This window comes from Homo sapiens, chromosome 3 (assembly GCF_000001405.40).
Source record: "Homo sapiens chromosome 3, GRCh38.p14 Primary Assembly".
Taxonomy (NCBI): domain Eukaryota; kingdom Metazoa; phylum Chordata; class Mammalia; order Primates; family Hominidae; genus Homo; species Homo sapiens.
This window is the reverse complement of record NC_000003.12, coordinates 73,637,779-73,654,636: the sequence shown is the minus strand read 5'-3', so window position 1 is coordinate 73,654,636 and position 16,858 is coordinate 73,637,779. Positions and strand designations below refer to the sequence as shown.

At 41.4% G+C, this 16,858-nt stretch overlaps 1 pseudogene, besides 4 other annotated features; it reads left to right on the top strand.

The window, feature by feature from the left end:
* Nucleotides 2,714-2,883: an enhancer, noted in NCBI's record as "experimental_71127 CRE fragment used in MPRA reporter constructs". NCBI's record gives its function as "activates a minimal promoter by MPRAs in K562 erythroleukemia cells, with activity observed for both the introgressed and non-introgressed 3:73700990 variant alleles {active_cell/tissue: K562}" and the evidence as "EXISTENCE:reporter gene assay evidence [ECO:0000049][PMID:34662402]".
* Nucleotides 4,433-4,602: an enhancer, noted in NCBI's record as "experimental_71107 CRE fragment used in MPRA reporter constructs". NCBI's record gives its function as "activates a minimal promoter by MPRAs in K562 erythroleukemia cells, with activity observed for both the introgressed and non-introgressed 3:73699271 variant alleles {active_cell/tissue: K562}" and the evidence as "EXISTENCE:reporter gene assay evidence [ECO:0000049][PMID:34662402]".
* Nucleotides 5,436-5,935: an enhancer, noted in NCBI's record as "H3K4me1 hESC enhancer chr3:73697853-73698352 (GRCh37/hg19 assembly coordinates)". NCBI's record gives its function as "activates a minimal SCP1, AML or CMV promoter by ChIP-STARR-seq in primed H9 embryonic stem cells {active_cell/tissue: H9 hESC(primed)}" and the evidence as "EXISTENCE:reporter gene assay evidence [ECO:0000049][PMID:30033119]".
* On the top strand, nucleotides 5,820-6,240 carry PRDX5P1 (PRDX5 pseudogene 1; annotated as a pseudogene).
* Nucleotides 5,936-6,437: an enhancer, noted in NCBI's record as "H3K4me1 hESC enhancer chr3:73697351-73697852 (GRCh37/hg19 assembly coordinates)". NCBI's record gives its function as "activates a minimal SCP1, AML or CMV promoter by ChIP-STARR-seq in primed H9 embryonic stem cells {active_cell/tissue: H9 hESC(primed)}" and the evidence as "EXISTENCE:reporter gene assay evidence [ECO:0000049][PMID:30033119]".

Below are 16,858 nucleotides of genomic sequence, written 5' to 3'. Positions count from 1 at the left end.
TCTGCCTCTCGGGTTCAAGCAATTCTTCTGCCTTAGCCTCCCAAGTAGCTGGGACCACAGGCGTGTGCCACCACACCTGGCTAATTTTTGTATTTTTAGTAGAGATGGGGTTTCACCATGTTGGCCAGGCTGGTCTTGAACTCCTGGCCTCAAGTGATCCATCTGCCTCAGCCTCCCAAAGTGCTGGAATTATAGGTAGAATTTAAATCTTGATCATCTGGCTTCAAAGTCCGTGCTTTTGCCCATGTATTACATTGTCTCCTAAGTTGTCTGCCTAGAAGGTAGTTACCATTACTATCTCATTTCATAGATGAGGAAAGTGAGGCTCAGAGAAATGAGTTGCCCTGGGTTAGGTATCAGAAAACTTTATCTGTAAAAGGCTAAATAGTAAAACTTTTGGCTTTGTGACCTTAGGTTTCTGTCCCAATTATGCAATTGTGCTGTTATAGTACAGAAGTAGCCATAGACAAAACATAAACAAACGGGCATGGCTATGCTCCAATAAAACCTCATATATAGACAGTGAGATTTGAGTCTCATTTAATTTTCACATGACACAGATTACAATTATTTTGGCTTCTTTTCAACTATTTAAGCATGTAAAATCTACTCTTACTTCATAGGCTAAGAGTACCATCCCTGAGAGTCAGCCATTGACAGTCACTAAAGTTGGAGCATTCTGGTGGATAGAAAGAAAAAGAGACAAACCATACCAGTGCTGCAAAGAAGCCTGTATGTTTCCAGCTAGGGTTGATTGTGGAAAGCAACACTTAAAATCCAAAAGTACTTTTAAAGCATGTTTATAAAATGTCCTCTCTGTTACAAAAACACTGCACACTTTTTCAGGGTCACGATGAAATGGATAGTTTTGAACCATGGCTTGCATTTTCCTCTTTACCCCAAAGAAAATCAAACTATAAAAGCATGAATTTCCCTGAGAGGGTTTTTTGCTCATTCAGCCATGTCTTCTAAGGGGTTTGACTTATTGAAAAATAGAAACCACTCGTGGTTGTAAAACCAGTGAACCTCTTTCCTTTATTTAACCTACTGCCCCTGAAAATTTACTTTTTTATGGTTCGCACGTGATCCAACCAAGCCTGCTCTCAGCTATCCTTATGCATGAGTTATATATAGAAGCACTTCAAAGAGAAAAGAGAAATGCTGCATAAATTCAAGGTAGTAGTGTACTCAAATCCAGTCTTAACTCATAATGGTGAACTCTACTGCCAAGTACAAGAGTCTATTATTGAGACAGGAATTCCTTGGTGTGTGCTCTGTTCATGTTTCCACTCCCCTTAATCCCTTTACCATTTTTGTGCACACTAGTTCTTATAAAATGATCGCACCCAACAGCCAGCACCTGTAGCTGTTCATCAGCAAGTGCCTTTGGCCTACTTGAGAGGGCCTTGCCTACCTGCAGAAGAGAAGAAGTAGAAGTACCTAGGAATTTATGCACCCTCATTCTTGGGGCAGCTCTTAGCCAATGACTGATGGGTGTGGGGCTATAAACACTCACACTCCCTCACCCCTGACTGAGAAAACACTGAGGTGTGAGCCATGATGTGTCCAGAGCTCCCCACATAGGATCGAGTTACCTCTGGGAGGATATGGTACATAATATGGCATCCACGTTTGACCTTCTCCTTCTGGTTTCATACCCCACTCTGCCACTGGTTTTTCCCAGGAATACTTCCTAATCAATTGCTTTCACACAAATCCCTATGTAAGGCTCTGCTTGTGGGGACCAATCTAAGCCACAGGGTTACAAGAGCATCTTCAAGTTCTGCCTTTTGATATACGGTATTTTGAAATTAGAACTCATTACTTTGTATAACTCTAAAATGTTTACCAAATGCTTCTAGAGCATTATCTAGATAATCTTTTCAACTGATGTTATTACTTTCATTATACAAGTGAGAAAACTGAGGTTCAAAGAGGATAAATGATTTTCCCAAGGTCGCACTGATAGGAAGTAACAGAGCTAGGTGTTCCTGCACATATGGTAGCAGCACTGGGGTAAACAGTCATCAAGTTATTATTGATGCATCTATGACCATTATTTAACATTAAACTGTGATAGCATGTTTTCTTAGTAGTCACTCTTATAAGACAAAGGAAAAGAAATATGTTAGGATCATATATTCATACCACAAATACTTACTGAGCACCTACTACATTTCAGGCAGTAGGCTAAAGGATACAGATATGACAGCCAGCTCTCATGGAACTTAACTTTCAGCAGGAGAATTTACAAGGAAAAAGAAACCAGTTATGATGGCAATAATTGCTATGAAATATACAAGGATCTGAGAAAGAGAAACACACATGGGCTTACCTTTAGATAAAGGAATTGGAGAAGGCTGCTCTGAGGAGTTAACATTTAAATTTAGAACTCAAGGAGGAACAGGGGTTAGTGAGGCAAAACTTTGGAGAAAATGTGCTCAAGGAAAGAGAACCATATGCCCCCCTTTACTTAGAAAGGTAGAATTCCAACATTTGGGTTTTTTGTTGGTTATAGAATCAAATTTCTTTGTAAGCAGAGCAGATGATGACTTTGTAGAATTTCAGGGCCACCTGTAGGTGCTTAGATAAAATGTCTACCACTCCATGGTCCTGGCCCTTTGTCTGAAATATCCGGCATTTGTCCTCTTCTTTAAGGATCCCCTGGAGAAGCTCAGTCGATTTACTTTGGCTCCACATCTGCTGTTAACTGAGAGAGGAAATGCGTTTATTAGCTTATATTCAGCACTACTAGCCTATTAGACTACCCCTTGACAAACCCTTCTCAACACTGGGAGGCTTGTGGATGGCCCAAAGCCAAATGTCAGAGACTGCAGTGAGTGGGAAGGGCAGAGAATGGAGACCTGGGTTTGATTTCCTCTTTTGTCATTTAGTTCCAGTGTGATCTACAGCAAGTAACTTGTCTCTCTGACCCTCTCTTTCTTCCCCTGTTAATGGTGAGGAAAAACAAGTGCATATTGTCTTAATCTCTTCAGGCTGCAATAGCAAAATACCATTGACTGGGTAGCTTATCAACAACAAAGATTTATTTATCACAGTTCTGGAGACTGGAAAGTACAAGATCAAGGCACTGGTAGATTCAGTATCTGGTGAATGCCCACTTTCTAGTTCAAAAATGGCCACTTCTCCTGAATTCCCACATGATGGAGGAACTAGCTAGTTCTTGGAGGTCTCTTTTATAATGGCACTAATTCCATTCATGAGGGCTCCCTCTTCATGGTCAACTTACCTCCAAAGGCCCGACCTCCTAGTACCATCACGTTGGGGGTTAGGATTACAACATGGGAATTTGGGTGAAAACATAAACATCTAAACAATAACACATTCCTAGTCTGCTTGCAAAGGATCAGAAAGAATGTTTGTAAGTAAGAGCTTGCCTCAGTATCTGGAACAAGAGCTTGCTCCAGTATCTGGAACGAGAGTTTTGGTTTTAGTAGTGGCTGTAATAGTAGCAAAAATTGTAGCATTAGAGTGGTTGCAGTAGTAATAGTCACACTAATGAGCATTCATATTATTACTGTTAGTAGTGCTCCTGCCTTTATTTCAATCGCTGTGGTAACAAATTAGGCCCTGAAGGGTGAACAGTAACTCTCACACCATCTAAAATACCAGTTGTTGCCTATTGCTATTGGGAAGTGACTTGAGCTTTGGAAAGTTTCCAGCACAACACTGTTCAATAGAGATAATGCAAGTCACATATAAAAGATACATTTTTCTAATAGTCATATCTTAAAAAGCAAAAATAGGCAAAATTCATTTTAATAATATATTTTCTTTAACCTAATATATTTAAAATATGATTTTATATGTAATCAATATAAAAGAAATTATTGGCGAGATATTTTATTTTTTCACACTGTCTTCAAACTACAGCGTATATTTTACATTTGGCAACACATCTAATTTCAGACTAGACATGTTTCGAGTGCTTAATAGCCAAATGTGGCTGCTGGCCACCATTTGGGGTAGTGTAGTTTTAGATAATAACAATGTATTTGGAATGGCTGAAAATACAGTGTCAGAGTAGTTCATGGGGTAGTTTACATGTCCCCAACTCCATAGGAAAAAAATGCAATTATTTGAAACATAGTAAAATGATGTTTAAAAAGCACAAAATCAGCTATGTAAACTGTGAATATAAGAAGCAATCTGTTCATTCTCTAACAGAAAAGCTTGCATTTCTTTCCACCATGAAGATATACAAATGAATGAATCAACAAATAAAAACTCTGAGCCCTTTGGTGTAACCTGGCTGAGATGTAGCTTAAATTTTACTTCTTCCCCTCCTTCAAGTCTCCACTCCAATGTCACCTCTTAGAGAGGTAACTGCCTCACATTTACACACCTTTGCATGGTCTGGAACACTAATGTCCTCTCTGTCACTTGTGAGTTCAGTTACATGGTTTCTGTCTTAATAACTGTTACCAACTGAAGATGCCCTCGCTAGGAAGTCTCTCTTTTTCTTCCTGGTGATCTCTGTGCCTCCAGCACCCCAATTATCTGGCTGAATCCTGCTCTAGTTGCCTCCCACTTCTTTTTCTCAGTGGACTCAAAATGCTTAGAAGAATTTTGTGCAGGAATCACTTAGTGAAGGTTCAGGAGACACAGCCACGCAGTGGGCATTGTTGGTGGTTCTGGACCACACAAAGCTGTACGAGGGCTCTTTACCCACTTCCCTCCCCTTAGTGCTGGACCTAATGCTACCGTCTAGGGCCTCAGTTTCCTCACCTGTAAGATGAGAGTGTTAGACTAAGCCAGTGGTTCTCAATATTTTTTATTATGGGGACTCAGCCCACGTTTAAAAATAATAATAATTTTGAGATATGTAAAAAGTAATAAAATAAGATTTTAAAATTATACCTCCCCAAAAATTGCTCAGAATACCCAGAAGTAACAATTTTTAATACCCTATGATAATTTAATTCAATATTTCTTTGCACATAAGATGAAAAGGAAGGCAGGAAAGCAGAGAGGCAGGAAGAACAAAGAAAATGAAAGAAGAAGTGGGTAGGAGGGATGGAAACGAAGGGGAAAGAAGGAAGGTACATTATAAATTAAAGCTAGTCCTGAGGATGGCAAAGCAGAAAGATAGAAAGAGCTTGGACCTGTTATGATGCTGTTGAGCTGTGACTCTACCAACCCTGAGATCCCACCTACTTCTAGACTTTTAATGCAGAAGTTTTCAACTATAGCTTCACACTGGAATTTCCTGAACTGTTAAAAAATAAAAATGAAATGTAGCCTGAATCCCAGAGTTTCTCATTTAATCAATACAGGGTGCAGCCTCAGTGGCAAAATTCCTCAGAGCTACTAGGAGAGTCTAATGTACAGCTAAGGTTGAGAACAACTGTTAAAAATAAATCCTCTATCATTTAAGCCAGTGTTTCTCACACTTTAATGTGCACCTGAATCACTAGGGATTTGACAGGAATCTTGTGAAAATGCAGATTTTGATTCAATAGATCTGAGGTAAGGCCTCAGGTTCCGCATTTCTTCCTTTTTTTTTTTCTTTTTTCTTTTTTTCTTTTTGAACCATAAATGTTTATTGCAGAAATCTGGCCAAGGTTCCAATTAGGGGGCCCCAGGGGCCCTCTGCCCAGGGCTGGGCAGATGAGATAGGAAAGGGTAGAGGGAGTGTATCTGGGCCTGGGGCCTCCAAGCTGTGAGATGATGTTGGGTGCCAGGCTGCAGGTGAGGCCTGTGCCATCTGCTTCGACATTCAGAGCCTCCACTATGTCATCCTCTATTAGCATGGAGAAGCTCTTGAGCCATCTCCCCTGCCGGTGGGACTGTCATTCAGCCTGTGGCAGCAGCAGTGGCACCAAGACAGCTACGTGAAGGAGGGTGGGTGCCTGGCCAGGTCCACAGTTTCAGCACAGCCACGGCAGCCATGGCCCCAATCAAGGTGGGAAATGCCATCCCTGCAGTTATGGTGTTGGAGGGAACACAGTGAACCTGGCAGAGCTGTTCAAGGGCAAGAAGGGTGTTCTGTTTGGAGTTCCTCAAGCCTTTAGCCCCAGCTGTTCCAAACACCTGCCAGGGTTGGTGGAGCAGGCTGGGGCTTTGAGGGCCAAGGGGGTCCCAGCGGTGGCATGTCTGAGTGTTAACGATGCCTTTGTGACTGGCAAGTAGGGATGAGCCCACAAGGTTAAAGGCAAGGTTCGGCTCCTGGCTGACCCCACTGGGGCCTTTGGGAAGGAGGCAGATTCACTGCTAGATTCTGCATTTCTAACAAGCACTCAGGTAAGGCCAAGGCTACTGCTAAAGGGTCGCACTTGGAGTCGCAACGTTGCAAGCCAATTTGAGTAAGGCTTTCTGTTCCTTGTGGCCAAAAGCATCCCAATGGAAACATCTTGCCAACTTGCATGTTATTTGATTTTCTGCCCTGAATGCCCCATTCTTCTTGTTTACAAAAAAACATCAAATAGGCCAGGTGTAGTGGCTCACACCTTAATCCCAGCACTTTTGGAGGCCAAAGCAGGAGGATCACTTGAGCCCAGGAATTTGGGACCAGCCTGAGGAACACAGGGAGATCCTGTCTCTACAAAAACTTTTTCAAAATTAGCCAGGCATGGTGGTGCACACCTGTGGTTACTACTCCAGAGGCTGAGGTGGGAGGATCACTTGAGCCCGGGAATTTGAGGTTGCAGTGAACTATGATTGTGCCACTGCACTCCAGCTTGGGCAGCACAGCAAGACCCTGTTCCCAAAACAGCAACAAAGATACAAACAAATGAAAGTGTAAATAATATTAAATTCTCCCAGGATATATCTTTTGTTCATTGCAATGTTTTATTTTCCTAAGAAACTGATGTGGCCTTTGGTCTCCAAATTAAAGTGTGTATTTCAAGAAAGTTTCTTCTATTTTATCTTTAAATGTATTCCACTGCATTTGTTGATACTCTTCTTCGGTAAGCCAGTTATGCGTGTGGAATCTCCTTTGTCTTTATTCTATATCTATTGTCTTTTCCACAACTGTTTTTATATGTTTATTATGTACATTTCATTTTGTACAATTTCTTCAAGACTTTCACTAGTTTGGAGTTACAATTTCTTTTTTGTTCCATTTAATATAGATTTCACTATGTATGGCTTTTTTCTTTTTCATTTGTTTCCCCAAATATGCCAAATTACTTTTTTATCTCCTTCTGTTGCCTTATAGTCTCTTTTGTGAATCTTTGTATCTCTTACTTGAGATATTTTCTTAACAACACTATGTTGTATGTAATTCCTTTGAGATTGCTTCTGTCATATTTTCTGTATTTCTTCTTGTTTTCCAGATATAGAGAGAATGAGAGACAGAGAGAGATAACATGTTTAATTTTTTCTGCTTATATTATTGTATTAGGGTTCTCTAGAGGGATAGAACTAATAGGATAGATATATATAAAGGGGAGTTTATTAAGTATTAACTCACACAATCACAAGGTCCCACAATAGGCCATTGCAAGCTGAGCAGCAAGGAGAAACAGCCTGAGTCCCAAAACTGAAGAACTTGGAGTCCAATATTCCAGGGCAGGAAGCATCCAGCATGAGAGAATGATGTAGTCTGGGAGTCTAGGCCAGTCTAGTCTCTTCACCTTTTTCTGCCTGCTTTATATTCTAGCCACATTGGCAACTGATTAGATGGTACCCACCCAGATTAAGTGTGGGTCTGCCTTTCCCAGCCCACTGACTCAAATGTTAATCTCCTTTGGCAACACTCTTACAAACACACCCAGGATCATACTTTGCATCCTTCAATCCAATCAAGTTGACACTCAGTGTTAACCATCACAATTATTTGTCTTATTTTTCACTTTTTATGTGTATATTACATATTGATTCTTTTCTTAGTGCTCATCTTTGAGTAAGGCACACAGACCCCGAAGGCAGTGAGGAGTGGTGTAATTGGTGGAGTTAGTGCTAAAACAATCTGTAGTTTCCACTCAGCTTTATGGTCTGTTATATATCTTTTCACCAAATCTGTACCTTTTTATTCCCTGGGGACACATCTGTCTTATTTTTGACAACCTCAAAATGAGAATGTCTTCATGTGAATGCCTTAATAAGGACAAAATTTTTACCATTAAAAGAGAGGGAAATAGAACTTGAGAAACAGGCTCATACAAATTACCAGGGTCTAGTGGTCAGGAGATGGAACTGGGGGAAATTTCATTTAAAAAGGCAAAATGAAACAAAACAAAACCTGGATTAAGAAAATACCTAACGACGAAAAGCCAATATGAATTCATTAACATCCTAAGTGAACTTGTGCTTTGGTACGCACAACAGCATCTGCAAACATTTGACAAAGAGCCCATGTGTGTGCAACACATGTTATTTACTCTGTGGAAAATGCCTTGTCTGCACATGGATTCACAGATCTCCTTTTCATTCAATTCTATTTATCAGGTGCTCACCCTGTGCCCTCATGGAGTTTGGTTGAGTGGTGAGACAAACAGTAAATAAGTAAACCAATAAATAAGCATTGTAAAATGTGGAAGTGTGTGAAGGAAATAAATGAGGTGTTGAGATGAAGAATAACCTGTGCCTAGGGTTGGTGTCTTTAAGCTGGGAACTGAAAAGACAGGAAGGTGAGAGTCACGTGAAGAATTGGAAAAGAGGGACAAGCAGATTAGGTAGATGTAACACACCAGGAGCTTACCTTCAAATGGCTTGCATATATGCTAGAAACCAAGAAAAAGCTTAGGGAAGTGGATATGTGTAAAGGAGTTGGTACAAAATCACATTAGAGACGAAGATAAATTCAAAGCATAAAGACCCCTTTAGACCACCATGAGGAGATAATTCTATGTCCAATGCAAAGCAATGGCTGTAGTGTAGAAAATGGATTGGAAAGTCACTGTAAATGGATGAGGAAATAGATGTAGACTACTCTGGTAATCCTGGAGACTGTTGGCAATCCTTGAACTAGGGTCGAAGGCAGTAGGGCAGAGGGAAATCTGTGAAGTTGAGATATATTCCAGAGATAGAACAGATAAGATGCTATGAATGTCTTGAATGTGGGAGGTGAAGGAGAGGGAGGCATCAAATCTGTCTCTCCAGTTCCTGGCTTGAACAGTTGAATAATAGACAGCAATGTCTCTTACAAACATGAGAGCAAGAAAAGAAAATGTCTTCTGTGGGAAGAAATCAGAAGTTCAGTTTTAAAAATGTAACATTGAAGATGTTTCTGAGTTTCATACTGTGATAGTTAATTTTAGGTGCCAACTTGACTGGGCTAAGGGATGCCCAGATAGCTGGTAAAACACTATTTCTGGATGTGTCTGTGAGGGCATGTCTGGAAGAGATGAGCATTTGAATCAGTAGGCCAAGTAAAACAGATCCATCCTTACCAAAGTGGGCCAGCATCATCCAATCAATCCATCAAGGGCCCAGATACAACACAAAGGCAGAGGAAGAACAGATTTTCTCTTTCTTCTGGACCTGAGACATCGTCTTCTCCTGCCCTTGGGCATCAGAGCCCCAGATTCTCAAGCCTTCAGACTCTGGGACATACCCTAGTGGCCCCCAGTATTCAGGCTTTTGGCCTCAGACCAACAGTTATGCCACTTACTTCCCTGGATCTCCAGTTGCAGATGGCGTATCCTGGGACTTCTTGGCCTCTGTAATTGCATGAGTCAATTCCCATAACAAATCCCATCTATGTTTCAATATACAGAAAGAGAGACCTCCCTTGGTTCTGTTTCTCTGGAGAATCCTGACTAATATACCTGGTGAACACATCAGGAAATAATTTTGATTGAGGCATTGAGGAAAGATCTGGAAAGCACATGCAAATTTTGGAGTCATCACAGCACAAAAGGTATTTAAAGTCATATAAATGAATGCGGCAATATAGGGAAACTAAAGAAAGGAACCTAGTGAACCTGAACAGTTCTAAGTCTCACCATGGCCCACATGTTGAAAACCATTGCATAGAGTTACACAGGCTTTATTTTAAGCAAGTCTTTTGGTCACTCGTGACAGAAACTCCATTCAAGTTATATTAAGCCAAAAAAAGGAATGACTGTTTCATACAGTATAAGACCAAGAGTCCATATGCCTTCAGGCACAGATGGATTCAGGAGATCATATATGTCACCAGGACTTAGTCACTCATCATTTCTTGGCTCTCTTTTCCTCTATGTTGGCTTCATTCCAGGCTAGCTCTCTCTACATGGTACCCAACAGGGCAGACTTATAGTCTTCTATTAACAAATGCAGCATTAAAGAGAGCTTCTTCCTTCCAATAACTCCAGAAAAATTCATGGATTTCTTCTGATAGTACTATCACAGATCATGTATCCAGCCTTATACTGATCACAGCACCCAGAACATACTGATTGGCCAGGCCTGGGTCCCATGCCCATCCCCAGATCCAAGAGATGTGGACAATGAATGACTTGACCTGAAAACAAGGGATGCATGATGCCTCAAAGAAAAAAAAATCAGGGTATCATTTCCAGAAGAAGAGTATATCAACACTAGGCAAGGAAAAGCAACAGCCATGCATACAGAACACTTCTCTCTCTCTCTGAAATGTAGTCTCTCTGACTACATTTAGGCATCTGAAATTTCCATTTTTCCCATCAGACAATCAACATAAAAGTTGTCTTACCTTTGGTGGGTGGTAATTGTGTGTCAAACACTGGAGACAGCTGTGAGTGGGGATGGGACTGGGACTGTTGTAGGATGATCCCAAAATTACAAAGTCAAAATAAAGAGGTTAACTTCCTGTCCCCTAAAAAGTAAGAATACAAGTGGACAGATATAGGGGAAGGCAGAAGAAATGAGAGCAGCTGCTTATGGAAGTGGCCAATCTCAGGATTCTAAACCAGAGTGACACTGTGGTGTGATTGATATCTAAGAGCCACCTCTGTATCTCTTCTTGCCCCAAGGCCAATGGCGGACAATTCTGTCAGGTTCTAGGGCCTGGACTCTAATAAGGAAACTTTGACAGTGAGTGTGATAACAAGTTTAATACACAAAGCTTACAGACCCATTTTTAAGCTTTGCAAGAAATAGTGTTGAGTTAGCTGAAATATGTGTAGTTTTTTTAAAATGGAGCCTGACCCAACATTTCTGTGAAGCGATAGCTTGGAAAGCACAATTGTGGTAATAAGTCTTAGTGGTACTTTATATGCTTCATTCAAAAATACTAAATCAAACCCAGGCCCAGACTGCAGCCTGCAAGTAGCACACAGAGTAATTAGGTGTATGTATGAGCTATACTCTTTGTTCATCATATAAAAGCATAAAGCCAGAACCACAGGGGGCTGTAACTGGGTGCCCTGTCTATACCTTAATTCTATGCACTTTTCCTCTCTCTACCCCAGTGCAAAATGTAGAGCAGAAAACAGAGGTTTTGTTTCCAATTATCTGGGAATACACAATAGGCACCAACTTCAGTAAAGGTAGTAAGGTAGTTCTTTGTCATTATGCTTTCAGGATTTGGCGTATCAAATATGAATTCTCAAACTTTTAAAATGCAGTGGTTTAGGAATGGTCCACAGGTAAATTAATTTTAAGGCTAAAAGAGGTTCTTATGCTCGTTTTCCAAGAAAACTACCTCAGTTCTATGTGGGTTTTGTTTGTTTGTTTGTTTGTTTTTGTTTTGTTTTGTTTTGTTGTTGTTTTGTTTTGTTTTGCTTGTGGCCATGGGGACAGGGAGGCTTGGTGGAAGGAAGCCTCAAGCTGAAGGCGAAGAACCCACAGACTCGACAGCTCACTGGTAACCTTGCAGATGTCACTTAGTTTCTCCAGACTTCAAACCACCTGGAAAATTCATAAAAGTCAAGCTGGCCCAGAGGCCAGATACTCAACTAAATAACATGTGACTGAGGAAAAGGAGGAGAGAATCAAGTCTAGGCAAAAAAAAAAAAAAAAAAAAGTCACCAATTTAAAAAAATAACAATAAACAGCATTCTCCTGTTATTAGTCTGAAATAATTGAATAGTCAGAACACTTTTCAGCTTGAAAACGAGCATTGTCTGATGTCGTTTTCACATTTTCCCTGCCAAATAGCTGTTTTGCTTTATTTGAAGACAAGGACAAGCATAAACAGTTTGAAATAATAGCCATGTCTAACCAGTCATCTTTGAGTTAATGTTGTCTCAGGATCATGGAGAAGCTTGTTTCATGAAACCACTGGATTCATTTTCCATTTTCTCCTGCTGTCTGGGTACTTCTTTTTTGCTAGTTAGATGAGAAAAGGGAAAATTTAAGGCAAAGAAAGAAGTTGTATTAGTTAGGGTAGTCTGAACTACTGTAGTCAATAAGACCTAAAAATTTTGATGGCGTAATCACAATAAAAGTTTATTTCTTACTCATGGAAGTGTCCTGAGGGATGTTGTTAACCAGCCTCACTCTCCTCCATGCAGTGCAGTTAATCAGAGACCAAGGTTCCCTCCATCCCCAAGTTCAGTCATCCTTTTTTTTTTTTTCTTTTTAGAGCCTGTTGCCCAGGCTGGAATGCAGTGGCACAATAATAACCTTGATCTCCTGGGCTCAAGGGATCCTCCTGCCTGTTTTCTGAGTAGCAAGACCTATAAGCGCACTCCACCCCAGCTAATTTTAAAAATTTTTTTGTAGAGAAGTGCATGTTAATTTTAAGATGCATACTGGTTTACATACATTGTTATTGGGATTTTTGGGGGTTTTATTGGTTTTTGAGACTGGGTCTTGCTCTGTTGCCCAGGCTAGAATGCAGTGCTGCGACTTCCTATGCTTAAGGGATCCTCTCACATCAGCTTCCCAAGTACCTGGGACCATAGGCATGCACCACCATGCCTGGCTAGTTGTTTAAAAAAATTGTTTGGTTTTTTTTTTTGGTAGAGACAGGGTCTTGCTATGTTGCTCAAGCTGGTCTTGAAATCCCGGCCTCCAGCAAACTTCTGCTTCAACCTCCCAAACTGCTGGGATTATAGGCATGAGCTACAGTGCCTGGTTCATCCTTTACGTGTTTCTTGTCCTGTGAATTCAGCTAGTGGAAGGGGAAAAAGAACACGGAGAAGGTATGCCTCCTTCATAAATATGTTGGTCCTGAAGTGGCACCCATCACTTCCAGTCACACTCCATTAGTGAGTGTGAGTTTTATGGTATACCACAATGCAAAAAGTGTCAAACAAATGTTGTTCCTAGCTGGGAAGCCATTTCACAGCAATATCATCATGTCATAGATGGGAAAATGGATTTGAAGTGTACCTGGCACCCTCAACCACAAAGATCTTCAGGCTTTTCACTACATGGAACGCTTTGGACCCCACTGCATGCCATGCTGAGTTCAAGATCTGGCAACACATGGGAGTCTGAAATTCTGCTTGGTTATTTGCAGGTCTGCCCAAAAGTTTTGGGTAAATATGGGCCTCACCTTTCTCATCTTTCAAATGAGAGTAACAGTATCTACCACACTAGGGTTTTTCTGAGGACTAAATGATGTAATTTGCATCTTCGCTAAATTTTGGGCATATAGTAAGCGCACAGCAAGTTCCAGCTATTATTATCATTATTACCCAACTAGGGACAAAATTCCTCGATGCTTATTTAGGCTCGGTTTGATAATTTACAGCTTAGGATTTTTTTTTTTTTTTGAGACGGAGTCTCGCTCCCTTGCCCAGGCTGGAGTGCAGTGGTGCGATCTCCGCTTACTGCAAGCGCCGCCTCCCAGGTTCACGCCATTCTCCTGCCTCAGCCTCCCGAGTAGCTGAGACTACAGGCACCCGCCACCATGCCCGGCTAATTTTTTTATTTGAGGCGGGATTTCACCGTGTTAGCCAGGATGGTCTCGATCTCCTGACCTCATGATCTGCCCCCCTCGGCCTCCCAAAGTGCTGGGATTACAGGCGTGAGCCACTGTGCCTGGCCCAGCTTAGGATTCTTTGACAGTTTGCTCTTATTTCCGTCTTCCCAGCCCCACCCTCACTCTGATGTGGCTTCACAATCTGTCTATGCCGTCTTCTTATTCCAAGGCTTCTTTCAGCTGTTATGCACACCTTCCATCCATGACCAAAAAACAATTCTAGCCAAGTAGGGGAGGAGAAAGGAAGGCTCTGAAGCTGGGCAAATGTCTGCAGGTTCTCTGCAAAATTGACAGAGCATAGCACAGTGATTTTCACAGAAAAGTCACAAGATAAAGATTTCTTGAGTAGCATACCAAGGTTCTGAGAAGCAAGCATGAGCTTGCACGCATGGGCCCAGGTTTGCACACATGCAAACAGTGAAGCTCCGTGGAAGGGCTAGTTTCAGTACACAGGTACTGCTTGCCTTATGTACTCCTAGAATTAGGATGATAAAGATATTCTGTCTCTTGAAATATCTGCCAGAGGCTACCTCAAATGGATGGGTCAAGGTAAAGTCGTGAAGTCCCATATGGTCTGGTTAGCAGAGGACAGTCACTGTCTGTTCCATCCCCCAGCTGGTTATCTCAGGAATGTCTGTAACTGGCCCCAGGGGTCCTAGGAGGACAGAGTGAATGGATCATAGAAATAACTAATATTCATAAAATGCTTACTATGTGCAAGGTGCTGTGTAATTCAGTTCACACAATGTTACCTTGAAGTAAGTATTGTTAGCCCCATTTAAAAGGTAAGTAAACTAAGGCTCAGAGAGATCATGTAATTTCTTACAGTATTCCTAGCATTGTAATAACTGGTAGAAATAAGTCTCAAAACCAGATCTGACTCCAAAATACATGCTTTTGGTATGTTGGTAAAATATCTCTTGCAACCATTAGCACACACATGTGCACACACATACAACTAGTGTATGTCCCAGAAAGGGAGGAAAAAGAGGGTCCCTTTATTACAGTATCCAGGTTCACTTACAGAATTCTCAGGATCTTGACAAAGAAAGAGGTTTTTGCTTTGCAGGCTCAGAAGTCTGACAAGAGGGGTTGAGAGAGAAGACAAAATCTAATTGACTGAAGAGAAAAAGAAAGTAAGTTAAAGGTATTAAGTAGACCACACACGTCTCTCCTTATGGCCCTGTGCTAAGGAAGCACACAGACCTGTCGGAATGTTTCACCTCTTGCCTCAGAGAATGGCAGGGACTGGGTAATGTAGGGTTCACATATTTATCTGCATGTGAATGTAAAATGTGATCCTAGGGATTATTTTCAACTTTACTTAGCAGAGGGTAGTACAGGGTTAATAAATCATATCACATATAGCTTAGCTTGAAAAGTGCAGGGCTAAAAAGCAAATGATTTCAAAACCAAAGGCAAAGTATAAATCCATATGTTGCTCTGAAATACAGAAATGCACCAACTTTTGCAGATGTTCTGGCCTGCTAAGGGAAGGCAGGTCCCTTGGCTTATGGGAATTCTGGGACATAAGAGACTCTATTTCTCCCTGGCTGCTTCTCCCTCATTTTCTAATGAGAAATATGAATGCCTCTCCCCTCAGTCAGTACCATGGTAAGACCCATGTTTGCCTCCTCTACCATAACTGTTGGCTTAGTGCAAAAGTAATTGTGGTTTCCCCTAAAAATTGCTTTCCCCTGAAAATTACAATGGCACATAGTAAGCCAGTCAACAACCATTTACTGAGGGACTTCATGTGTGCCTATGAGTGGTGAACATTATACCAGTAATCACAATATTGCTACATAGGAACATTAGAGGCAACTGTTAGAGTGTTCATTTAGTCAGAGGATCACTGGAGGTTCCCTGAAAAGGTGATGTTGAAGGTGACATGTGAAAGTTAAGTAGGAGATAGCTAAGGGAGAAGGGGGTATGAGCATTTCTGCAAAGGAGACAGCACGTGTGAGTCCCGAGTGATTGGGGGAGGTCCTGGCATGCTTGAGGAGAGTGAGAAGCCCGGCATAGCTGTTTAGGTTGTTCTAACACAGTAATTCTCAACCAGGGGTGACCTTGCTCCCCAAGGTACACTTGGCAATGTCTGGAGACATTTTTTAGTTGTCACAACTAGAAGATGAATTCTGTTGGCATCTAATGGGTAGATGCCAAGCACGCTGCTTATCATCGCACAATGCACAGCACAGATCCCTAAAACAAGGAATTATCAGATCCACAATGTCAATAATGCTGAGGTTGAGGAACTCTTCAACAGAAGCCCACATGCAGAGGCTTAAACAAGATAGATTTACTTTTTAGATTTAACGTCCCAAAAGGGCTGTTTTGACTAATATGGCCAGCTCTAAACTGCCGTAAACCAAGGCTCCTTCTATCATATTGGTCTGCATCTCCTAGGACAGGGGTTGGAAAATTTTTCTGTAAAGGAGCAGATTGGAAATATTTGGCTTTGTAGTTCAGATGGTCTCTTTTGCAACTTCTCAACTCTAACCTTTTACTGTGAAAGTAACCACAGACTATGCCTAAGGGAATGGACATGGCTGTATTCCAGTAAGATTTTATTTACATAAACAGGTAGTGGGATGAGTTTGGCCTGTGGGCTATCGTTTGGACCCCTGCCTTGTCAAATGTGCTTGGTCTGCATGCTAGCCAGTAGGAGGGACAAGAGTTGGAGCAGAGGGTAGGCCTCCTCCCTTTTAAGGAACAACATGGAAGTTTTCTACATCACTTCTGCTTGTGACTTATTGGTCAGAACTCTGAAAGGCTGGAAGTGGTGTAGTTTTTGGATGGGTCATCACAGGCCTAGGGAAAACTCAGCTTGTTTTATTTAAAACACACACACACACACACACACACACACACACACACGGAAGAATGGCTATTGGGGGACAATTGGCAGTGTCTTTAATTGCTGGATGCAGAAGTAGAAGGAACTCAGAATGAGGCTGGCAAAACAGGCAGAGTGAGATCATGCCCAGTCTTAGAAGTGAAATGCAGGATGACAATTTTTCTCTTAAGAGAAATGGGAACCTATTAAACAGC